Consider the following 27067-nt stretch of genomic DNA (forward strand, 5'->3'; position numbering starts at 1 on the left):
CAGATATCAATTGGACCCGATGTTTGAGAGTGCTACAAATCTTGAAGAAAATTTGAGTCTTGTCTGCATTAGTGCTTTCAAGTAGATAACTAAGGTAGTCATTTCAAAGAAGGTTGTTAGAGAGTACTAGCAAATAACACAAGTTTTAAAATAGTTTATTAGATGGGTAAATTTAGACTAGGGCAAAAATCCACATAAAGTTTCTTTTTCTCATTTAAAATGGGAAAATAATTTCTAATTTATGAGTTTGTGGTGAGAATTATGTAATTTAACATCAAGCACCTAGTAAACAGTAACTGTTGTCAGTATTACTAATTATTGGAGTCTTTAGTCATTAACATCTGAAATTCTGTTTTATATAGTTCTTCTGAAATCTTTTGTTACTCCCTTTTACGTTTTCTACAATACCTTTTTTCATTAGTCATCCTAATTGTTAAAAAGCCAAAATTACATCTCTAAAGTCACATTAAATTTAGTTTATAATATTACAATGCATAAATGCATAAGGGAAGTGTTTTGCCATAGTTTTATTGGCCTTTTTACTTTCACATTATTACATTACCTTCTGAAGTTAAACATTAGAAACCCAATAAACATTCAGTGGAAAAGCTATAGGTTGAGGTGGTTTAAGGACATTCTTTATTTAGAAATGAATATCTTTGGCTAAGAATATAAAAAAAAAATGTGATACACTCTGGCATATGTCAACTAGATGTACTAACCAAGTGAATATTTTGACCTTAAAAGTAGATGTTGAATTCTACACTTATAAAGTTGGAATGTCCTACTGCTCATTGTGCAAGTAGATAACAATGGGCAGAGATAACTTAGCCTCCTTTAACAACTTGCACCTATTTGACAAAAAGCCAGAGGAAGATGAGAATAGTGGGACAAAGAATATAATAGCTATTCTGTGTATAAAATTGACCTTTTTTGGGGGATATTATTCTTACAAATGGTGATTAAAATATTTTCTGGTAATATAGTCGTCATTATGTTAAAGATCCACTTCTAGGAAACATGTGCTTTGAAATTTTAAACTCAATCTCAAATAATATTACATAAATACATGCCTGATGGACATTGCATAGGCTGGAAAACATCGAAATACAAAACATTAGATTTATGCCTCTTGCAAAGTAAGCTCATTGACTTTTAAGTAAAGGTTTAAATAAACATTTAAAGATAATTGCAAGATGACATGAATAATCTGCAAAGAACACTTTCAATGATAGGTGATTATGTTAATTTGCTTTACTATTAGTAAGATTCAGTTTAAGCATGGCATTATTAGTTAGGTATGACTGAATTATTTAACTCAAGAAAAAATTTTTTCTCTTTTGGCAAGAGCTACGTTGCCATTTTATTACATCTCAGTTTCTGACTAACAATATATTATCCTTCAGCTCATATCATTTCATAATCATTTCTTATCGGTGTCTAGCTGATAGGCCTAGGCCATAAGCTAAGGTGGGGACTTACTCTTCATCAGTCTCTCAAATTTATTTGTCTCTGACATTATTTCTGGAGTTAATTATTATCATATAAGAATCAACAACATAAGAAAGCGTTGTTGAATTTGCACATTTCTATCATGTATATATATCTTACATATATAATATATATAGATTACTGTAGTGTACTATATATTTATAATGCTATGTATACATAGATATCTTACTATATATGTAGATATATAGTAAACAACTGTTTCAAATGCATTATATTATACAATATATATTATGTAAATATATACATTTTGATTATATATGTACACACATAAACACATACATATACATATGCACACACATACAATGGAAGTTACAAACTTCTGTCCTGCAATGAAAGCATAAAATATTATTTTCAACTTCCAAACATTTTAAATTGGCACCATAAAACACTATTAAATAAATGTCACTTGTTGTGGCTCATGCATGTAATTCCAGCCCTTTGGGAGACCAAGGTGGAAAGATTCCTTGAAGGTGAATAATTCAAGACCAGCCTGGGCAACATAGTGAGACTCCATCTCTACAAAAATAAAAAATAAGAGGTGTGGTGGCATGCACCTGTAGTCCTAGCTACTCTGTAGGGTAAGAGAGGAGGATTGCTTGAGCCCAGGAGTTCATAGCTGCTGTGGGTTATGATTGTGCCACTGCACTCCAGCATGGGTGACAGTGAGATCCTGTCTCTTAAAAAATGAAAATTTTTAAAATGTCATAAATATTTCAGTTCTAAATATTATAGTGGCTTAAGGTAGCAAACATGAGGAAACAAAGTAAAAATAAAGAGAAATTATCAGCACAATCTTTTTTTCATCAGGGTTCCAATATGGCCAACATTTTACAGATACGAAATCTCTAATCCAGGCTGCTATAGGTTGCACAATGAACGAAAAAGGGCAAGCAATGGTTGACATCACCAAGAAGAAAGAGATGTTAGTATTATCTGACAGAGATTCTAAAGCAGCAATAATAAAAATGCTTCAATGAGCACTTACCAAAGTGTTTCGAACAAATGACAAAATACAAAGTTCCAGCAAAGAAATAGAATTTTTAAACCTAAAAATAGAAGATATAAGAAGCAACAAATAAAAATTGTATAACAGTCCTATAGCTTGAATGTATCCCCCAAAGTTAATGTTTTGAAAAGTTAGTACCCAATGAAATAGTGTCAAGAGGTGAGACCTATGAGAAGTAATTAGATCATGAGGTCTCTGCCTTCTTAAGTGTATTAATACCATTATCAATGGAGTGGGTTCATTACCATGAGAGTGGGTTTGGTATAAAAGTGAGTTTGGTTCCCTCTTGTTCTCTCTCATCCACATGTGATGTCTCTCCATGTGATACTTCCTGCCATGTTATGCTGCAGCAAGAAGACCCTCACCAGATGCAGCCCCTCTATGTTGGACTTCCCAGCCTCCGGAAGTGTAAGCCAGAAAAACTTATATTGTTTATAAATTACCCAGTCTGTAGCATTCTGTTACACCAGCACAAAATAAACTACAACAAACTGTAAAATATAATAAACAAAAACTAAACAAAACTTTGAGTGTGCTCAACAGCACAATAGAGAGGCAGAGAAAAGAATTAGTGACCATAGCAATTGCCTAATTGCAGAGGTTGCAGTCCTTAGGAGTCACACATTGGCCATGGGTTGGGGTAGGGAGGCCCATGGGAAGGAGAGTTTGACTGCTCAACAGCCAGATGAGGCCTACATTTTCCTTTTGCACTGCGCTCTGCAAATTGGACCTACTGTCATGGTTCTAGCTGCCAAATAAAAATTTTGCTAATAGGTTTAATTAGGTTACACGGAAATTGGTGCACTTTGTTTAGGTGCAGTGAAAATAGTACTGATTAGGACTCAGGAGAGATCAGTTTAAGAATCAGCCCTGTAAAAGGAAATTATCAACTTATTTTTTATCTTGATTTTCTATTCTCCATTTTGATTATCTCTGCTCAAAGCCTTATTATTTCCTTCTTCTGACTTGGGTTTAGTTTTTTCTCCTTATTTAGTTTCATAAGACTTAAAGTTAGGTAGTTAATTTGAATTCTTGCTTCGTTTTCAATGTACGCACTTACATTTAAAAATTCCCTCTTAGCATTTTTTTGGCTATATCTATAAGTTTTATTATTTTGTGTTTTTATTTTCATTTTTCTCAAGACATTTTCTAATTTCTTTAGTGATTTTATCTTTCACTCATTGTTTTTTAAAGAGTGTATTGTTTAATTTGCACATATTTGTGGATTTTTCAGTTTTCCTTTGCTTCATTTCTACTTTTATTCAATTGTGATGAGAAGAGCTACTTTGCATGATTTAATGTTTTTAAATTATTGAACGTCTCTTAGAGACTTCAATATCCCACGTTCAATAATAGAAAAAATAAGACAGAAGTTTGATAAATGAAAAGAGAATTTGATAAACATTATAGACCAATTGGATGTAACAAACATAAGTAACACAGAAGAATGTATTTTTTTTCTGAGTGCATATAGAATGTTCTCCAAGATAGACAACATGCTTGGCCACAGAAAAAGTCTTAATTAATTTAAAAACATTAAATCATGCAAAGTATCTCTTCTCGTCATCCCGTCAAATTCATCAGTATTCGCTTCACATATTTTCAGACTCAGACATTTGGTGCATAAATGCATATAAGTGCAATAAATAGTATATATATATATACACACACACTTATATATACATATATACACATATATACATATATATAGATAGATATAGGATTTGGTACTATCAATGGTTTTAGGCATCTATTGTGGGATGAGTCTTGAAACTTATGCCACGTGGATAAGGGAGGACTACTGTATCTTCTTGGTTATTTGAACACTTTATTGTTACATAATGTCCATTTTTGTCTCTAGTAACTATTTTTGACTTGAGAATTATTTGTCTAATATTAATGTAGCCACTTCTGCTCAATTTTTTTTACTATTTGCATGAAATATTTTCGCCATTCTTTCACTTTCTTTGCTAAATATGTTTCTTCATTTTTTTCTTTTTTTATTTATGCATAATAGATGTACATATTTTCAGGGTATATGTGATAATTTGATACATTCATATAATGTATGAAAATCAACTATCCTTTCATTTTTACTGTATATCCTTAGATTTAAAATGAGTCTTTGTAGTCAGTGTATAGTTAAATCATGTTTCTATTTTAAAATATTCTGCCAATCTATGTCATTTGATTGGGCAGTTTAAACTATTTACATTCAAAGTAGTTATTGAGCAGCCTCCACTGCTTTTTTTTCTTCACTCTGGGAGGCCCACATGGCTCTGCCTCAACTTTCTATTCCCTGTGACTCACAGGACCTGAGAGATCAGTAGGGAGGACAACATGGCACTCCAGAAGCTGGGAAGTGGACAAAGAAAAGGCAAGGGGATTCCAAAGCTCATATAGCTCAAAAAGTTTAGTTTACTTGGATAGTCTTATTTGAGTTTTCATCTATACAATTTTTTTTGCAAAAGTGCCAAAATGGCCAACTAGATGCAGATAGAAAGAGCTTCCCCCACTAAGAGACTAGACTATCAAAAAGACCAGCACACTCCAAGCAAATTTTCAGGAAGAAGGCATTGAGAGTGGGTAAAGGGAGGACATAGACTGAAGAGGGAGGAAGCTGGGAACCCTGCACAGGGTTGGTGAGCACCCTTATATCCAAACAAACAATTGAACTAGCTCTCCAGCAATACTTTTTAACCAAGCTGATATGTCTAAAATATAAACATATAATTCAGAATCTGGATAACAATGAAGATCATGAAGATTCAGGAAAAAATTGAAACTCAAGCCAAGGAAACTAAGAAATTTAGTAAAATGATACAAGAGCTCAAACAGAAAATAACTATTATATGCAAAAACCAAACTGATTTTCTACAGCTGAAATTTTCACTACAACAATTTCATAATACAATTGGAAGTATTTACAGCAGAATAGACCAAGCTGCAGGAAGAATCTCAGAGTTCAAAGACCAGTTCTTTGAATCTCAGTCAGACAAAAATAAAGAAGAAATACAAAAGAATTAACAAAACCTACAAGAAATATGGAATTATATAAAGAGACCACCAAACCTATGACACATTGGTGTCTCTGAAAAACAAGGAGAGGGAACTAGAAACTTGGAAAATATATTCAAGGGTATTGTCCACAAAAATTTCTCCAACCTCAGTAGAGAAAGCAATGTTCAAAGTAAGGAAATTCAGGGAACCCCTGTGAAACAGTATGCAAGGCAACCATCCCCAATGCAGTATATATATATATATATATACACACACACACATATATATATATCACATATATACATATATAAGTATATATATGGCATATATATATCACATATATACATATATAAGTATATATATGGCATATATATATCACATATATACATATATAAGTATATATATGGCATATATATATCACATATATACATATATAAGTATATATATGCCATATATATCACATATATACATATATAAGTATATATATGGCAGCTAGAAATAAGGGGCAAGTTGCTTACAAAAAGAACCCAGTCTGGCTAAGAGTAGACCTTTCAGCAAAAACCCTACAAACTAACAATGAGGTTTTCCACATAGTTAGAAAAATCACTTCTAAAATTCACATGGAACAAAAACAGAGCCCAAACAGCAGAGAAATCCTAAGCAAAATAACAAAGCCAGAGGCATCACAATAGCTGATGTCAAACTATACTACAAGGCTATAATAACCAAAAAGGTATGGTACTGGTACAAAAACAGACACATAGATAAATGGGACAGGTTAGAGAACCCAGAAATAAAGTCGTCCACCTAGAACCATTTGATCTTTGACAAACTCAACAACAGCAAGCAATGCGGAAAGAAATCCTTATTCAATAAATGCTACTAGGATAATTTACTAGCCATAGGCAGAAGATTAAAACTGAACCCCTTTATTTAAACAGATGTAAAAAGCAACTCAACATGGATTAAAGACTTAAATGTAAAACCTAAAACTATAAAACCCTAGAGAAAAACCTAGGAAATACTATTCTGGATATTGGTCTGGCAAAGATTTCATGGTGAAGACTCCAAAAATAATTTCAACAAAAATAAAAATTGACAAACAGGACCAAATTAAACTAAGGAGCTTTGACATAGTGAAAGAAACTACCAACACAGTAAACAGACCACCTAGAGAGTGGGAAAATACACTTGCAGACTATACATCCAACAGAAACCTAATATCCAGAATCTATAAGTAACTTTACAAAATCAAGAAAAAAAGAAAGAAAGAACTCCTCTAAAAATGGGCAAATGACATGAACAGACACTTCTCAGAAGACAAACACATGGCCAACAAGCATATGAAATAATGCACAATATCACTAATCATTAGGGAAGCACAAATTAAAACCACAATGCAATACTATCTCACACCAGTCAGAATGGCTATTATAAAAAAGTCAAAAAATAACAGATGTTGGTGAGGTTGCAAAGAAAAGAGAATGCTTATACACTGCTGGTGGGAATGTAAATTAGTTCAGCCATTGCAGAAGGCAGTTTGGTGATTCCTCAAAGTATTTAAAACACAATTACCATTTGACCAAACAATCACATTACTAAGTATATACACAAAGGAATATAAATTTTTCTACCATAATGACATATGCACATGTAGGTTCATCACAGAACTATTCACAATAGCAAAGACATGGAATCCACCCAGATGTCCATCAATGGTGCACTTGATAAAGAAAATGTGGTTCATATACACCATGGAATGCTTCACAGCCATAAAAATAAGTAAAATTATGTCATTTGCAGCAACATGTATGCAGACAGAGGACATTATCTTATGCAAATTAATGCAGGAACAGAAACCAAATACCACATGATCTCACTTATGAGTGGGAGCTAAACATTGTGTACACAGGGACATAAGGAAGGGAACAATAGACATTGGGGCCTACTTGAGGGTGGAAGGTGAGAGGAGATTGAGAATTAAAACCCTACCTATGCGATGTTATGCTCATCACCTGGCTGGTGAAATGATCTGTACAGCAAACCTCTGTGACACGCAATTTACCCTTGTAACAAACCTGCACATGTACCCCCTAAACCTAAAATAGTGTTTGGAAAGAAATAAAAGACTTTTATACAATAACATGCCCATCTGCGTTACTTAATTGTATCTGTATTGGAACAAAATTAAATTTGTAAATTACCTTAAGAACAATTGATGTTGATAATATTGAGTTTTCCCATCTAATAACATGATTTGATTTTTCATGTGTTTATGTCTACATTCATATAACTTAGGAACTTTCTATGGTTTTTGTTATATTCAAAACACATTTTTGTTAGATGTATTATTAGGTAGTTTATTTTGTTAGAGTCTATTAAAAAGTAAACAGAAGTATAAAAATAATAAAATAATTATTGATAACTATGGACATTTTTTAAATTCATTCAAGTAATTTGGAAGCCTTTGTTTTTTAGACTTAGTTACTGAGATATTTTCCCCCCAGTTTTTATTTTGGTTTAAGGAGTACATGTGCCAGTTTGTTATACGGGTAAATTGCATGCCATGCTGGTTTGGTGTACAGATAATTTTGTAACACAGGTAATCAGCATACTACCCAGTAGAGAGTTTTTCAATTCTCACTATCCTCCTACCTTTCAACTTCAAATAAGCTCCAGTGTCTATTGCTTCTTTCTTTGTGTCCATGGGTACCAATGTTTAGCTCCCACCTATAAGTAAGAACATGTAGTCTTTGGTTTTCTGTTCCTGCATTAATTGACTTATGATTATGGCCTCCAGCTCCATTCATGTTGTGGCAAAGAATATGATCTAATTTTTAAAAATCTTTGTAGTATTCCGTGATGTACATTACATGCACCACATTTTCTTTATCCCATTCACTGTAGGTGGCCATCTAGGTTAATTCCATGTCTTTGCTATTGTGAATAGTGCAGCGATGAACTTACTCATGCGTGTGTCTTTATGGTAGAATAATATATATTCCTTTGAGTATATACCCATTAATTGAATTGCTAGGTCAAATGTTAGTTTTGTTTTAACTTCTTTGAGAAATCTCCAAAGTGTTTTCCACATTGGCTAAAGAAAAATTAAATTCCCACTAACTGTGTAGAAGCCTTCCCTTTTCTCCACAACCTCTCCAGCATCTGTTATTTATTTATTTTTGACTTTTTAATGATAGCCATTCTGACTGGTGTTATTCTGATAGCCATTCTGATGGTATCTCTTTGTGGCATTGATTTGCATTTCCCTAATGATTTGTGATATTGAACATTTTTCCATATGCTTGATAGCCACGTGTGTATCTTCTTTTGAAAATTGTCTGTTCATGTCTTTGCCCATTTTTACATGGGATTATTTTTGCTTGTTGACTTGAGTTCCTTCTAGATTCTGGATATTAGACCTCTGCTGGATGCACAGTTTCCAAATATTTTCACCCATATTGTAGGTTGTCTGTTTACTCTGATAGTTTCTTTTGTTTTGCAGAAGCTCTTTAGATCGATTAGGTCCGATTTGTCAATTTTTTGTTTTTGTTGAAATTACCTTTGGAGGCTGCATCATGATTTCTGAACAAGGGCCAATGTCTAAGAATGGCATTTCATAGGTCTTCCTCTATAGTTTTTATAGCTTTAGGTTTTACATTTAACTCTTCAAGCTATCTTGAGTTGATTTTTGTGTAGAGTATAAGGAAGGAGTCCCATTTCAACATTCTGCATATGGCAAGCCAGCTATCCCAGCACCATTCATTGAATGGGGATTATTTCCCAATTGCTTGTTTTTGTCAGTTTTGTCGAAGATCAGATGTTTTTAGGTGTGTGGCTTTATTTGTGGCCTTTCATCCTTTCCTATTGATCTATGTGCCCATCTCTGTACCAGTACCATGCTATTTTAGTTATTTTACCCTGGCACTATAGTGTGAAGTTGGATGTTATGATGCTTCCAGCTTTTTTCTTTTTGCTTAGGATTGCTTTGGATGTTTGTTATATTTTTGTTCCACGTGAATTTTAAAAAAGATTTTTCTGATTATGTGAAGAATGGCATTAATAATTTGATAGGAGTAGCACTGAATCTGTAAATTGCTCGGGTCATTCTTGTGGCCATTTTAAAAATATCGATTCTTCCTATCCCTGAGCTTGGAGTGTTTTTCCATTTGTTTGTGTCATCTTTGATTTCTTTGAGCAGCATTTTGTAATTCTTGTTGAAAAGATCTTTAACTTCTCAGGTTAGTTGTTTTCCTAGGTATTTTTGTGTATATGTATGTGATTATTGGGAATGGGATTGTATTTTTGATTTGGCTCTCAGCTTGGACAGTATTGATGGATAGAAATACTACTGATGTTTGTACACTGATGTTGATTCTTGAAACATTGCTGAAGTCATTCATCAGATCTAGAAGCCTTTGTACAGGGACTAGAGGATTTTCTGGGTATAGAATTATAATGTCTTTGAAGAGAGTTTGACTCCCTGTCTTTTTATTTGACTGTCTTTTGTTTCTTTGTCTTACCTGATTGCTCTGGATAGGACTTCCAGTAGTATGCTGAATAGGTGTGGTGAGAGTGGGCATCGTTGTCTTGTTCCAGTTTTCAAGGGAAATTCTTCCAGCTTTTGGTTATTAAGTATGATGTCAGCTGTGCAGAAGCTATTTAGTTTAATTAGGTCCCATTTGTCAGAGACAGGAAAAAAAAAACTTAGTACCCCAAATTGCCACAATATATGACCTATAACGTTCAGTTATCAAAAAACTACAAGATATGCAAATAAATAGGAATGTGTGAATGATACACAGAAAAAAGGAAACAATGGGAAAAGTATGTAAAAATGAGGAGCTATCAGATATAACAGAAAAAGACTTAAACAGCTTCTGCACAGCTTCTCTGTTTCTGTTGTTGCTTACTTTGTTGCAATTGCTTTTGGCATCATTGTCATAAAATCTTTGTCAAGGCTTATGTCTAGAATGGATTTTCCTGGGTTTTCTTCAAAGGTTTTTATAATTTTAGGTTTTACATTTATGTCTTTAATAATCTTGAGTTGATTTTTGTATATGGTGTAAGAAAGTGGTTCACTTTCAATCATCTGCATATGACTAGCCAGCTATCCCAGCTCCATTTATTAAATAGGGAGGCCTTTTCCCACTGCCTTTTTTTGTTGACATTTTCAAAGAACAGATGGTTGTAGGCGTGTGGCTTTATTTCTGGGCTCTCTATTCTGTTCCATTGATCTATGTGTCTGTTTTTGTACCACTTCCACGCTATTTTGGTTACTGTAGCCTTGTAGTATAGTTTGAAGTTCAGTAATGTAATGCTTCCAGGTTTAATGTTTTTTGTTTGTTTGTTTGTTTTGTTCTTCTTAGAATGTCTTTGGCTATTCCGGCTCTGTTTTGGTTCCATATATATATATATATATTTTATAATTGTGTGAAGAATGTCATTGGTACTCTGATAGAAATGGCATTGAATCTGTAAATTGCTTTGGGCAGTATGGCCATTTTTATGATATTGATTCATCCTATCCATGAGCATGGAATATTTTTCCATCTGTTTTTTGCCATTTCTGATTTCTTTCTTTCCTTCCTGCCTTCCTGCTTTCTTTCTTTCTGTCTTTCTGTCTTTCCTTCTTTCATCATCTTCTTCTGTTTGTTTGTTTTTTTTTTGACAGGGTTTTACTCTGTCATCGAGGCTGGAGTGCAGTGCTGCGATCTCAGCTCACTGCCACTTCCACCTCCCTGGCTCAAGGGATCCTCCCATCTTAGCTTGCTGAGTAGCTGGGACCACAGTTGCGTGCCACCACGCCTGCCTCGCTAATTGTATTTTTTGTAGAGACAGGATTTCGCCATGTTGCCCAGGCTGATCTCAAACTCCTGGATTTAAGCGATATGTCTGCCTCGGACTTCCAAAGTGCTGGGATTACAGGCGTGAGCCACTGTGCCCTGATTTTTTGAGCACTGTTTGGTAGTTCTCCTTGAAGAGGTCTTTCACGTCCCTGGTTAGCTTTATTCCTAGGTACTAATATTTTATTCTTTTTACGGCTATTTTGTAAAGAATTGTGTTCTTGATTTGACACTCAGCTTGGATGTGGCTGGTGTATAAAATGGTACTTATTTTTGCAGATTGATTTTTAGGCAGGAGAATAGGGCTTGGAGGCAGGTAACCTAAGGCCAATTCGTGCTGAGTCACAGAAAAACATCAAGCTCTGTGGGCAAGGAATCTAAGGGCAATTCACTCTGACTTTTCAAAGCTGGATCAAAAGGAAAACACCTGGGTCTGGGGGCAGGGAACCTAAGGCCAATTAACACAAAATTCCTAAAGCTAAACCAAAAGGAAAAACCCCATCTCCCACAGGGAGTAACAAAGGAACAAGGCTACTCTCCCAACAACCCTCCCTCCCCCTTCCACCGTCTCAGTTGGAAAGGGAGAGTACCTTGGATTAGCCACAGGCCAAGCAGGGACCATCCCTTTATCTGCATTGGGCACCAATTCACAGCAGCCTTTAACCACAGACCAAATCCTTCATCCAGATAAGGGGTAGTCCAAGAACCTCAAACAGAGTTCTTAAAGCCCAGAAACTTTTGTAACTGGGCCATGGGGCCGCTTGCTGGGACCCACTCTCTCCCTGCAGAGTGCTTTCTCGCTTTAATAAATTCCTGCTTTCACTGCTTCGTTCTTGCATTTCATTTCTCTGCTACTTTGTGCGTTTTGTTCAATTCTTTGTTTAAAACGCCAAGGACCTAGAGAGTGTGTAGTCAAGACCCACTACCGGTAATAATTTTGTATCATGAAACTTTTCTGAAGCTGGTTACCAGATCTAAGAACTTTGGGGCAGAGACTATGAGGTCTTCTAGGTATAAAATCGTATCAACTACAAAGAGAGATGGTTTGAATTCCTCTCTTCCTATTTGGTTGCCTTTCATTTCTTTGCTTGATTGCTCTGGCTAGGACATTCAGTACGATGTTCACTAGAATTGTGGAGAGTGGGCACCCTTGTCTTGTTCCATTTCCCTAGGGAAATGTTTCCAGTTTTTGCCTGTTTCCTAAGATGTTGGCCATGTGTTTGTCATAGATGGCTCTTATCATTTTGAAGTATGTTTCTTCAATGCCTAATTTGGTGAGAGTTTTAAACATGAAAGAATGCTGATTTTTGCTGAAAGCCTTTTCTGCATCTATTGAGATGATCGTTTTTTAAAAGTTCTTTTTATGTAATAGACCACATTTATTGATTTGCATGTGTGGAACCAACCTTGCCTCCCAAAGATAAAGTCGACTTGATCATGGTGGATTAGCTTTTTGATGTGCTGCTGGATTCATTTTGCCAGTTTTTTTTCTTTCTTTCTTTCTTTTTTTTTTTTTTTGAGCATTTTGGCAGTGTTTGTTGTTGTTGCTGTTGTCATTGTGTCTCTGCCAGGTTTGTTATCAGAATAATGCTGGCCGCATAGAAGAGTTAGGCAGGAATCCCTCCTCTTAAGTTTTTGGAACAGCTTCAGTTAGAATGGTACCAGCTCTTCTTTATACATCTTGTAGAATTCAGCTTTTAATTAATCTGGTTTTGGGCTTTTTCTGGTTGGTAGGCTTTTTATTACTGATTCAATTTTGGAACTCATTATTGGTCTGTTCAGCATTTGAATTTCTTCCTAGTTCAATTTTGAGAGGTTGTATGCTTCTCAGAATTTATTCATTTTTTCTAGGTTTTCTAGTTTGTGTTCATAGAGGTGTTTGTAATAGTCACTGATGATTTTTGTATTTCTGTGAATGTTGTGATAATGTCCTCTGTCATTTTTGGTTGTATTTACTTGGATCTTGTCTTTTTTTTTCTTTTCTTTATTATTCTAGCTAGCAGTCCATCAATCTTATTTATTCTTTCAAAAAACAAACCTAGTTTTATAAAAATTTTCTGTATTTTTTGTGTCAATTGTATTCAGGTCTAATTTTGCTTATTTCTTTTGTTTTCTGCTTGCTTCTGAGTTGGTTTATGCTTACTTTTCTAGTTCTTCTACATTTGATGTTCAATTGTTAATAGAGATCTTCATGATAGTTATTTGAACATATTTATCATGGCTCCTTTAAGTCTTTTTCTGTTATATCTGATAGCTCCTCATTTTTACATACTTTTCCCATTGTTTCCTTTTTTCTGTGTATCATTCACATATTCCTATTTATTTGCATATCTTGTAGTTTTTTGATAACTGAACGTTATAGGTCATATATTGTGGCAATTTGGGGTACTAAGTTTTTTTTTTTCCTGTCTCTGTTTCTGTTGTTGCTTACTTTGTTATTATTATGATTTTTAACCTGGCTAGGCCATTTTAGTGAAATTGATCACTACAGCAGTTTGAAGCCTTTTGTGTTCCTCCTTTGAAGTCACCTACATGGCTGTGTATAATCACCCTGAGATTGTAGTGGCTTTGTCAGAGATCTCTTTGATTATCTCTTTTCATATTTTTTCTGTAAAACTCTCTGCGTCATTTGGTATTATTTCCCTCCAGTTCAGCTTCATTATCAGCTGATTTCTCTATTGTATTCAGCAATACCCTGAGTGAACTATTGCTCAGCAATTTGATCCAGTTAAGTTGGGTCAGGAATAGTATTTAAGGCCAGTCTTTAAACTTTGTCATGACTTTAGGGTCGCTATTCTTAGCTACATTTTTTCATACATTCTGGTAAAGTATCTGGCCTATGTTTCAGATTGCTGATCTTGATTGAGAAGAGCCATTGCTACTGAGAGTGTCCTTAATTTAAAACTCCTACATGTTCTATAAAGTCATATTTTGTAAGGGGAGCTTCATAGCTCTCTTTCCTTATACTCTTCCCTTCTCTCTGGCTAACTATATGACTAACTACTCTGGGCACTAGGCAGGCCACTAGACTGTGTTCTCTTATGCTTGCCTCTCCTAACATGGAAACTGCCCAATAAATGAGCTAGGGCAAGAGCATTTGGGGGTCCCAGAATTCTCAGCTTACCACATTGGGGTTAGAGCTTCTATCCTCTATGTAGAGACTGGGTGTAGGTAAAAGGTCCCACTTCTTGGTCACACTCACTATTAATTTGGCCTCTTTAACTAGGAGTTGGAGGAGATAAAACATGTTGATGACCTACCCCTCTAGGTGAGAGATAGAGTAAACCTTAATTTGGATTTCAGAGTAGAGAGTCTATCTTCTTGGCTATATCCACCTGATATAAAATTTCTGTCAAGATGAGCCCAGGATAGGTGAAGGAGAAGGTCTCAGATACCATGGGGTCTCTGTGCTCTTATTAAGTTTTAGTAGATTTTTAAAATAACTTAGTTTTGTTAATTAGGACGATTTCTAGGGACATTAAGTGGTTGTGATTTTAAATGTTTTTATGCTAGTTAGGCATTTTTCACAAGGGAGTGTCTCTGTGAAACACTACATGTCATCATTCTTAAAGAAAAGCACTCTAGTTGGTTTGTTAAAATGAGCATGTATGCAAGGAAAAAAAATTATCAGACAATAAACATTATACATAGTTTTAATTGCATTGATGGGAGTGGGAGTTTTGCATTTTCACATCTTACATAATGGATGAACAGAGAACTTTAGTTCTTAGTAAGAAAACAAAAACATTGAACCATGGATAGAACAGTGGGGAGCTCTCTTTTGAACAACTTGTAGGTTGATGAGTAAATCAACACTAGCACTTATGTCTATCCAGAAAATAATCAGGAGATTATCACAGCTCATGAGATAAGCACAGTAGATACGTTATAGCTTTTAAACAAATTTCTTTCTAAACACAATAAAAGGAGAAATTTAATTGTTTTGCTTAAGATAAAAACCTAAGTAGGCTGGGCGCGGTGGCTCACGCCTGTAATCCCAGCACTTTGGGAGGCTGAGGTGGGTGGATAAGGAGGTCAGGAGGTCGAGATCATCCTGGCCAACATGGTGAAACCCCATGGCTACTAAAAATACAAAAATTAGCCAGTGTAGTGGCGTGCACCCGTAGTCCCAGTTACTCAGGAGGGTGAGGCAGGAGAATCGCTTGAACCCAGGAGGTGGAGGTTACAGTGAGCTGAGACAGCACCGTTGCAGCTTGGGCGACAGAGCAAGACTCGGTCTTCAAAAAAAAAAAAAAAAAGAAAGATAAAAGAAAGAAAAAAAAACCCTAAGTAAAAGTGAAGAAATATGCATATTATATTGAAGTATTAGAAAAAGTGAACTAATAGACAATAGATTATTCTAAGTGAGATCAATTGCAAAATAAAATTTATGAAGAGAAAAGCCCACAATTACAATGAAAAACAGAGTAACAGAAAAACACTCAACAAAGCAAATAAAAGTAAAATTATTCTTTGAACTGACTTTATACAAATTTGAGTAAAATGATTAATTTGTAAGAAAATTATAATTACCAATAAATTGACTCAAGAAGCAATAGAAAAGCTACTCAGATGAGTATTATATACAATATTGAGTACATTTTCAAAGGGTTATACTATGAATTTTTTCTGGCCCAGAAAATTTTGCAGGCAGTTTTTGCAGTATGTTTAAGAACAGATAATTTTGTTGCTATTTAGCTATTCCTAAGTATAGAGAACAAAGAAAAAAATTATGCTTTTTTTTCAAGATTCAAGAATAAGTGAAATATGCTTAGCACACTGGTAGTGTGCTACTTTGTTTATTTTCATTATTACTAAATCATCATAACATTGTAACCAATGTCTGACAAAGACAGATCTAGGAGAAAATAAGAATACCAATTCACCTCACTGATAGACACTGACACACACATTTTTGATAATATGTAACTGCACTGCCTCCTGTAATACATGCATAAAAATTACATCATGATCAATTAAGATTAACCTGGGAATGCAGAGATCATACAGTCATAGTTTTATCTATTTTAGCTAATTCACCATTTTGATAAAAATGAAAAATGATCTTAATGATAAAAGTAAATTTGATATAATTAACAACTAATTTTCTAATCACAACATTTAAGTAAATCAGCCCCCCAAATTAATCTCTCTGTGCAAATATCAAAGACTAACTAAACTTACAAAATTTGCATTTGATTATATTTAGAGGGTATTATCCAACAAACTAATGTACTTACTGCTTGGAAAAAGCAAGTCTCTGTGATTCTGGAATACCTGTCAGTCAGCTCTGAGATTACTTTCTTATGTTAAGAAATACTTGTCTATCAACTGTGAGATTACTTTCCTTTGCTTCTTAATCCTATGTATTTTATTTTGGCATTTAAAATTAGTATTCTGTGAAGGGATCCATTTTTTTTTTACTGACAAAGAGGTGCACAGAACAAAAAAAAATGAGTAAATATAGCTCCTGTTTGGCAGCCTCCTTTGTATGGCTTTAGCTCTAACCATTGTTAGAGCTAATGGTCTCAATATCACCATTTCTTCCTTTTTGTCCCTTGAGAGCTAATGGTTACAAGGACTTCTTTCTGTTGCTAGTTACCAGATGCCTCAATCTGCCTCATTGGTTCTCTTAATCTTGCCATAATTTGCGGAATAGTCCTTTCCTTAAATATTCTTCAATTCCAGGCTTAGCAGGTCTTCTGTTTCCTTTGAAGATAAGTAGCAAATATATTATCCTGCCTTTATGGACAGAATTTTTGCATAGGCAGAATAGGCAAGGGAGTTAGCTTTATAAAGTTTGATGAGAATTGTGTCAATACAGAGCTCCTTTGCTAAATATATATGACTTGCATAATGAAATACTAAAATCCTCTACTAACTTCTTTTAGATATCATACTCTACAGATGTCCCTCATTTTAAAATTCAGATGTTCTCTGGAGGTCTAACATATTCAGTTCCTTAAAAAGAAATATTATTTTTCTTTATTAACCAGACGTGCTGCTCCTTTGCCTGTGAAGTCCTGAGTACTGAAAGAGGTTCAAGTAATACGGAAAAATGATGTTATTTTAAAAGGCAAACTTCCTCTTCTGTCTACTTTTCCATTTTGTCATGGGCCATCTATGACATCACTTATAAAGGAAATACAAGAAGTAATATTTCTGCACTTTGAGTTTTAGTGAGTAAATAAAAAATTGTACACATTCAAATCCTATACAGTACAAGCATTTATTAGTGTTATACTCCTATATTCTTGTTTCTGCTTGTGCCTGGGTGCAGAAGAAATTGCAAAACATTGGGAGTGATGTCTTATTTATGTACTATCCTCTGGAGCATCATCAATGTCTGCTAGAATGACTTATCACAACTGGTCTGTGGTGCCACCCTCTGTCCCTACCTTAACTACTTTGTTGCAACTGAGCTTGTCCTAAATTTTGGACATATGCTAACTTTGACTGCTGACATTTCTGGAATGTGCAGTGGCCTGTATTCATAAGAATCACAGACTTTGAACCTTCCTTGTCATAAGCCCGGGCCTATTTTGGCCATCAGTTCTCTCAACACTCTTACACCTTCCCATTAGGTAGGGCATGCAGAAATTTCTGGTTCTACTCCATGGCCCATTGGGACAATGTGAAACAGAGAAATAAATCATCTTAGATACTCTATTTACCAGAACATAAAATATATTCAACTGTACTCCATTGAACTATCTCATGTTGGCATGTAACATACTGTAATGATGTCTTCCTCCAGAGTTCCAAATAATAAGTGATACAGAAACACATTTTGTTTGTTTGTTTTCCTCACTTACACTCTCAATCTTATAATTCTATCTATCCATATGCCCAGTGCCCAGGGGGCCTAATACTGCCTCCTTTAAATATTTCCGTCATCATCTCATGTCCATGTAGTATTCTTTTTGCCTCCCTTCATTGTGGACACTGCCCTTGAATGATACCTTGTGTTTTCAAATATATAAGAGAGAAGGGAGAGTACAGTAGGAGCTGAAAATAGAGAGTTCTGAAGTAATACCTTTTAACTTGCTATTAGGACTCTTAACTTTACTTTGTGTGGAATAAAAAGCATTGGAAAGTTTTGAGCAGTGGAGAGGTATGACAAAACATTTTAGAAGAATCAGTATGGCTGCCACACTGAGAATAGATCATAGCGTGGTGGTGGCCAAAACAGAGACTAATTAGAGGCTATTGCCATAACACAGGTGACAGATACTGGCTTGGAGCAAAGCTGTAGCAGTTGAAGGGGTGAAAAGTGTCGAGTTTTAGATGATTTTTTTTTCGTGGAAGAGATGACAGTGTTTTCTTGTGGGCTGGAAGTAGGGCTTAAGAGAAAGGCTTTAAGAATAATTAAAAAGAGACTGCTGACTGCTTGCCATTTTCTTTCTTAATAACAAATTATCCTTATTATTGGAGGTGGGAATATTTTCAAGTTATAAAAGAAGGAAGAGAAGGAGGAGGGGAAGAAGGAAGAGGAGAAAGAGAATTCATTTCTCAGCTTCTCTTTCAAATGAAAGTAGCCAAGAAAATGCAATGATAAAATTGCCTGGTGGAGCTTTTGGGAATGCACTTTAAAATGAGTTGCTTAGCTAGAATGTTTACTTTATTGTACTCATCTTTTCTTTTTAAAAATTTTTTTGTTTTTAAAATTTTGTGTAGGTACATAGTAGAGGTCCATCTTCATGGTGTACATGAGATACTCTGATACAGGCATGCAACGTGAAATATGCACATTATATAGCATGTACTCATCTTTTGTTCCTTTCTGCTATCTGGAATATGGACTAAAATACCAAGATGTTTGCAAATGATGCATTTTAAGCCCTAAACTGGTAACAGTGGTTGTCTATATCTAAAATATTTGTCAAATAGGAAAAAATCATTCTTGTGTTTAAACCACTGTAATCAGGTCTCCATTACTTGTATTTTAGCTTAAATTCTAAGTAAAACAAATGAATTCAAGATTTTTGTTCTTAGCAGATCTAATGATGGCACTGCCATTTACTGAGAAGGAGAAAGCAGTTGGGAGGAGCAGATTTTGAGGGAAAACCAGGAGCTCAGTTTTGCATGCGTTAAGTTTTTGATGCCCATTAGATATCTATGTACAAATTTTTAGTAGGTATCTGGCCATATGAGTCTGGATATCATGGAGTCTTAGAAATAATTATGTGAAATGCCTGATACCTGTGAGTGATGTCTAAAGCCAGTACAAACTTTATAATTTCCCAAATGCTATTGATATATTTAAAACAGTTTATTTCAAATCGTCTTTATTTTTTGTATAATCAGAAAAATATTAGTTCATAATTAATGTATAAAAATGGGTAAATATCCTTTCTGCTTTGTTTTCTTTTACCACAATGGCATCACAATGAAGATTTACTAAATTAAATAAAGTTGATTTCAGCTAACATCTTCAAATCTTTGTAATATCCTGGATGCCAATGTATTTAAGTCAACTTGGACAAAACTATATTCAGTATAATAAATAAAATACTAATAAGATCACTAATTCTATTATGTAATTACAATTTATTTGTGACAATGTTCATTAGTACCAAAATAGTTATATATGTAAACACACACACACACACACACATATATGTATATACATATTTGTTTTTGTATTTAAAAATACGTGAGCAATAAAGAACAAAAATATTAATAGTTCTATCAAAACACTAAGAGAAAATATTTCTATATTCATGACCGTTGATTAACATGACTAGCTAATCCATACATGCTTGAGATTTAGGAATATATCAAAAAAACAAATAGTAATAAATATGAAAATTATTACCCATTGAAGCCATCCAACCTAAGCAGCAATCTTAGTACTGGCTGATCCTGCATTGTTACAGAAGTATGGGTGATTATATTTCCAAAGATTCTTTTCCTATAAAAACCTTGTTCTGCACAAGCAGAATATCAAAATTTCTATTCACATTTTACCACTATAGTTGTATTTTTTTTACTCACACTGTAGTTACTTAGAGGAAAATTAGTACCATAAACTTATACTTTTATTATCTTATGGCATTCTCCTCATTTTTGATCCTGCATTTATGAGCTTACATTCAGCCAGGAGCTTATTATTATCCATTTATAAGCAGCCAATAAAATAGTAAATTATACATTTGAAAGCCGGGCTTACTGAGATTTTTAAAAGTTCACTGCATTTATTTTCTTTTCTGTAGTAGAAATGTGCTACAACCACTCAAGGTCTGCAAACAGATTCCTATTTAGATGTTGTTGAGAGGTAAGTACAACTAGTTCTCATTAATATTTCATGTCCTATGTGCCATACTTACACTGCCATTTTGTAGTCATTTGTCCTACAGCTAAAGATTAATTTATAATCAGATACGTGAAATCTGATATGTGCATTAAGCTTGATTATACCTGACTGTGTCTTCACGAAGATAATTGTAAATGACATATTAATTAATTTGCAAGTGTGTTCGGTTTACATTACATATAGTATCACAGACAACATTACACATATGATAATTTGCCATTAGTCCTAAATATTAATAATATGATTTCTCAATGAGTCTGAAACATTTTCAAGATACTAGAAATTTGTGACAGATGCCTTTTACATCTGTGAGAATCCAGAATATTATTCTTTAAAATGCATTTTCTCATAAATAGCTCATTAACTTTCTCATTGTTCTCAGTTGTAAATCTGTAAAAAGCAATTTTGTTCCCTTGTCTGTAATAAGAAATCTTTTGCACTCATTAAGATAATTAAAGCATTACTAGTGTGCATGCTCACTATATTCAAAACATTTTCTACTTGATATGAGTTGTCATGGCATTATCAAGACCGGAGGGGGCGGAAAGAAAAAAATAAAATAGCGTCAGCCTATGGTTATGCTCTTTGAATTTGAATATGATTAAGTGCATCTTTAATTTGTTTCTGAGTCATAGTTTAAAATAAAAACTGGAGAGCATTTTGTAGGAGCAATACTGCCCTTTTGTTCAATTTCCTTCTTTTAATTCAACAGAACACTTAATAAAATCATACATTTTAGAAAGTTTTGGAAATTTTTTTGGTCTTTTTATTACAGTTAGGTAGGGGTTTTATTTCCTCATGTGTTTGCTTTATTTTGCTTGGGTAAAGAAATGTTTTCAAATTTAGTTTATGTCTTTACATTATACATGTAGTCCAGGATGTTAGCTGGTAACAAAATTATCAAAGCAAAATAGGTGTTTATGCTATGGGTTCCTTGATCTCCTACTCTTAGGCTTTTTGAGACACATTCACTTTTACCATTTTGATCTTTTAAATTTCTTTTTATTTTTAATTTTTGTGGGCACATAGTAGGGCATATATTTACGAGGCACATGAGTGATTTTGATACTGGCATACAATGCATTATAATCACATCAGGTTAAATGGAGTATCCATCACCTCAAGCATTTATCATTTCTTTGTATTACAATCTAATTCTACACTTCTAGTTATTTTTCAATGTATAATAAATTAGCATTGACTATAGTCACCCTGATGTGCTATGACATACTAGATCTTATTCATTCTATCCAACTATTTTTTGCACCCATTAGCCATAGTCACTCTGCCCCAATCTTCCCACTACCCTTCCCAGTCTCTGGTACCCATCCTTCTACTCTTTATCTCTATGAGTTTAATGGTTTTAATTTTTAGCTCCCACAGATAAATGAGAACATGCAAAGTTTTTCTTGCTGACCTGGCTTATTCACTTAACCTAATGACCTCCAGTTCCATCTATGTTGCAAATGACAGGATATCATTCTTCACATTTCATTCACAAATGGTATGACAAGCTGTAGTAGACAGAAATTATTTTTTGGTTTAATCTCACATGCCCCTTTTATCTTTATGGGGAACTAAACTATTTTTCTGGGAACTACTCCTTTCCCCACCTTAATCCCTATAGGTGTTTTGTTTTGTTTTGCTACAACTCTTATTATGTTATCTTACTTATTTTATGCCTGTTGCTCCATCCAGGTGTGGGCAGTTTATCTTATTGAGCGAATCATTTCTTCAATGAACACTTTATTAATTATACAGAAAAGTATGAGTGATTCCAACTTAAGAAGTTTTAAATTGTGGTGATGTCAGCTCTATTAATAGGCTAATAAAAACTTTTAAGATTAGGCCTGGTCATGGGAATACGTTTTCAGGAATCGTTTCATGAAAAAACACACAAAAATGTTTTACTTATGGTTCTGTATTCCTCAAAATTCTCCAGAGACACAGAATAAAAAGATAAATAGATATAAAGATAGATAGGTGATAGATGGATAGATAGATAGATAGATAGATGATAGATAGATAGATAGGAAAATAAATATATGTGAGGGGTTTATTAGGGGAATTGGCTCAAATTATTATGGAAGCTGAGATGTCCCACACTAGATCATCTGTAAGCTGAAGAACCAGAGAAACTACTAGCATGCTCAGTCCCATTTGGAAGGTCTAAGAACCGAGAAAGCCAACGATGGAAGTCTCAATCTGAGTCCAATGGCAGGAGAGCCCCAGTAGACTGCAAGTGCAATTCCCAGAGTCAAATGGCAGAACAACCTAGAGTTTTGATGCTCAAGGGCAGCAGAAGGGTGTGCTACTCCAAAAGAGAGAAAGATATAATTGACCCTTCTACCCTTTTTTGTTTAATAAGAGCCCTTAGCCAATTGGATGGTGTTTGCCCATGTTGAGGGTGGAATTTCCCCACTTAGTTGACTGGCTCACATACCAGTTCTTCTCCAAAAACACCCTTACAGACAAATACAGAAACAATGTTTTATTAGTCATCTAGGCATCCTTCAATCCAGTCAACAACTAAAATTTACTATCACAGGTGTCCACTGGTTTTTCTCTTCTATTTTCAATGACTCTTGATTGTGAGTTACAGAAAATGAAATTAAGCACAAATCAAAGTGTACTGGAAGAATCCCAGGGACCTTATAAAATAATAAAAATATGGAAGGAGAAAAAAACAAAGGATGGCCAGTGATTTGATTATCACCAGAGTTTTTTTATACCTTGTCTTTCTTTCTAAATGTCCAATGTTTTATTTCATTTTGTATTTTAAATTGTGTTTATTTTTAATTTTTGTGAATACATAGTAGGTATATATATTTATGGGTCACATGGGATATTTTGATACAGGCATGCAATGCATAATAATCACATCAGGGTAAATGGGGTTTCCTTCGACTCAAGCATTTATCCTTTGTGCTACAAACAATGCAATTATATTAGGGAGCTAAACATTAAAATAATTGGACTCATGTTCAGTATTTTTGTCTCTCTCCCCTCAGAATGACTGTCTATCTTGAGAAAAAAAAAAAAACATGCTTAAACCGTATACCATATCTTGTTTTTGTAGACATCCAGAGAGATAGGCTCTTAAAGATACACAAACCCTACTTTTAAAATATTAGAGAAGAATTGAAGGAAAGATTGACCACCTGTTGTAGGGGAGAAAAAAGTGATATGTTTTCCTCTCCCATCACAAGGGTGTTCATAGCCAACACCCCTATAACAAAAGACAGATTAACAAGAGAAAATCATCATTTATTTATTTAACCAAAGTTTTATGTGACATGAGAGCCTTCATAAATCAATGCAAACCAAAAAACCTAGAGAAAATGGTGTATTTTTATGCTGAGTATGAAGAAAAAAGTCGATAGTTGTGAAAAAACATGATTAGGAAAAAAAGAGTATAATCTAATGATATTATATAAACTGAGATAAACTTCAGCAAGGACTGTTTGTTCAGATTATTTCCTGCATCTCTGTATGATATTTCTTCCCCTAGAGTATGGAGCAGGACCCCTGTTCCATGAGGATCATTAGGGGAGAAGCGAGATCAGAGAGTCACAACCAAGGTGTCATTTTTTCAATGTAGTACTTTCTAAGCCTTGACACAGTCATGAGTGTGATCTTTCAGAATTATGTGGCAAATCAAGCAATTGGCAAGCTTTTAATGAAAACTAAAGGAGCTTTGAGGATATAAAAAAGATATAAATAAAAACAAGTTATAGAATTTATCAAAAATGATTTCAGAGGAAAATATGATAGTGGTCCTGCTTATCTGTGGGGCATAGGTTCCAAAATACCTAGTGGATGCCTGAAACTACTGTTAATACTGAACCCTATATGTAGTATGTTTTTTCCTGTGCACACATCTATGATGATATTTAATTTATAAATTAGACGCCATAAGATATTAACACTAACTGATAAAATAGAAGTCATAATAATATAATACACTGTAATTAAAGTTATGTGAATGTAGTTCTCTCTCTCTCTTTCTCTCTCTCTCAAAATATCTTATTTCTCTGAAAATATCTTATTGTATGTAATATGTTCACACTGCAGTTGATGGTGGGTAACTGAAACCCCAGAAAATGAAAACAAGGGTAATGGAAGACTACTGTACCTTAGAGATAGATTAGTGTTAAATATGTGCCAACATAGAAAACTGTCTCATTTACACAAATTCAATATAGTATTTTCTCTTAAAGCAAAAGGAGCTAATAATATTTTCTGTAGTGACTACTACTTCTTAATAGTGTAGCTTCTTTTTTTTGATAACCATTTTTCTTAGAGCTATTTGAAGACACTATTCAAGTAGTATAACAAAGCAAAAAGCAAATGTGTATGCTCTGTTAAAAGACAATGAAAGTTATACAGAAGAGCTCCTTTTATAACAAATAATTTTGCATAACATAACTACTCTTAAAGCAATACTAATCATACAAAACTTCTATTATTGATTTATAAGCATGACAAATAGCCATTATACTTTTTGGTGTTTTTGCTATCTTCTTTTGGATTTTATTTTCTGTTCATGTTTTGTAAGGTATGTTTTCTGTCATTTTAATTACTTTTAACAAAATCACATCCGGGTGCACTTTTTATTAAATAAGCATTTAGTTCTGGTCTCTGCCTCAAAGAGCCGAAGTTGAGTTGTAATATTTGCTTTAATGTTCAAGTTTTTACCTTGTAGGATAGTGATGAGTTCTGGGTTTGTGTAGTAGACAGAATAATGCTCTCAAAAGATGCCCACAATCTAATCCCCAAAACCTGTGAATATGTCACCTAGCATGGCAAAAGAGACTTTTGTACATTATATGTTATTTTCATGTCTTTAAGTGTAATTAGCTAAAATATTGTTTAGTTTTCCACTGTTTGTCTTTACCAATGATCAGTTTAACAGTTTTTCTATTATGGAGATTTAGATTGACATCAACATTTGCTATTAATCATTTATTATTTCTTCCTTTCTGAAAGCTGAATTTCTGGAACAAGAGATATAGATTAAGACTGTTGTTACATGTTGCCTACATGACTTTCAAAAGCTTGATTCCCAGTGGCGCTCTCAACAGCAGTCATAAACAATGGTAATTCAATGTATATTTATATTCAACTGATATATTAATTGGAATATATTAAAAATACGTATATTTATATTCAGAATATTTATATTGAAAATATGAATATGGTGTGTGTGTGTGTGTGTGTGTGTGTGTGTGTGTGTATCCCATTATTTCCCTAACACTAGATCAGGGCTTTTTAACTATGGTGATTTTACACACCCCTATTCTCCAGAAGACGTGTTATTTATGGAGACATATTCAATGGTCAAAACTGCGTGGATGATGTTAGTAGGCAGATGCCATGGATGCTGTGAAAGGTCCTACAATGCATAGGTCAGCCCCCCACCACAAATAATTATCTAACTCAAAATGCCAATAATCTCCAGATTTAGAAACCCTATTCTTCCTAATGAATAGTCATATTTTACCATCTTTAAAAATTGAGAGCCATGTGACAGAATTATTTTGGCATTCCCTTTCTCAGAAGAATGTTAAACATATTTTGCTCACTCTTTCTGAGTGATTTCACCACAGACACTACTTGCATCTGTTCCCACTTAACTTTTTAGCATCAAACCAAATATAGCATTTCAAAAACTAGTTACTTTTTCTGAATTAAATAAAATAAAAACATGATTTAAGCTGTGCCTTCAGATTTAAAATAACAGAATGCCTTTTCACATTGACCATAGTATATATGTACATAATACTTTCAAATATCTTTAAAATTTTCAGAGGTTACTTTTCTGGTAGAAAGTTTTATCTTTATATATGGCTGTGTGTGTGTCTGTCTGTGTGTTTGTGTGTGGTATATGATATATGTATGTGTGTGTGTTGATATGTATGTGACACATAAAATCATATGTAGCTTTTAACCATTTAAAAGGATCATAAAACCTACAACCATTTAACAATCATACTATTTTTTTAAAAATAGATGATTATTCATAGTCTTGAAACATTTCATTTGCTTTCATGAATCTCATTCCCTTCAACAACCCTGGAAAGAGCAACTTTCCTGGAATCAGCATATATAACATTCTTGATTTTCTTATTAGTTTACTCAACAATATCTGCAAGATACATTCATCCATATTCTTGATATATATGTAGGTTATTTATTTTCACTGCTCTGCAGTTCTCTACCATATGAAAATAGCACAATTATATCGATGTATCCCCTGGCTAGTGGTTATTTTGGTTGCTTCTATTTTTTTGATGTTACAAATAATGATGCTATGAACATTATGTGCACATTTTCTATTGAACATGGGAGTATCTCTTCAGCAGCAATCTTCAAACTTTTTTCTTT

The 27067-nt window shown here is 34.0% G+C and overlaps 1 long non-coding RNA gene across 1 annotated transcript in view, besides 1 other annotated feature; it reads left to right on the top strand.

The window, feature by feature from the left end:
- Positions 1 to 25857, top strand: part of LINC00278 (long intergenic non-protein coding RNA 278) — a 99277-nt gene extending 73420 nt beyond the window's left edge. The window contains exons 2-4 of the long non-coding RNA NR_046502.1: positions 2869 to 2926; positions 20580 to 20641; positions 25670 to 25857. This is a non-coding gene — a long non-coding RNA (long intergenic non-protein coding RNA 278). The remainder of the gene's footprint in view (positions 1 to 2868; positions 2927 to 20579; positions 20642 to 25669) is intronic.
- Positions 11561 to 12102: an enhancer, noted in NCBI's record as "OCT4-NANOG hESC enhancer chrY:2956017-2956558 (GRCh37/hg19 assembly coordinates)". NCBI's record gives its function as "activates a minimal SCP1, AML or CMV promoter by ChIP-STARR-seq in naive H9 embryonic stem cells {active_cell/tissue: H9 hESC(naive)}" and the evidence as "EXISTENCE:reporter gene assay evidence [ECO:0000049][PMID:30033119]".
- Positions 25858 to 27067: the final 1210 nt, after the last annotated feature.

Source organism: Homo sapiens, chromosome Y (assembly GCF_000001405.40).
Source record: "Homo sapiens chromosome Y, GRCh38.p14 Primary Assembly".
Taxonomy (NCBI): domain Eukaryota; kingdom Metazoa; phylum Chordata; class Mammalia; order Primates; family Hominidae; genus Homo; species Homo sapiens.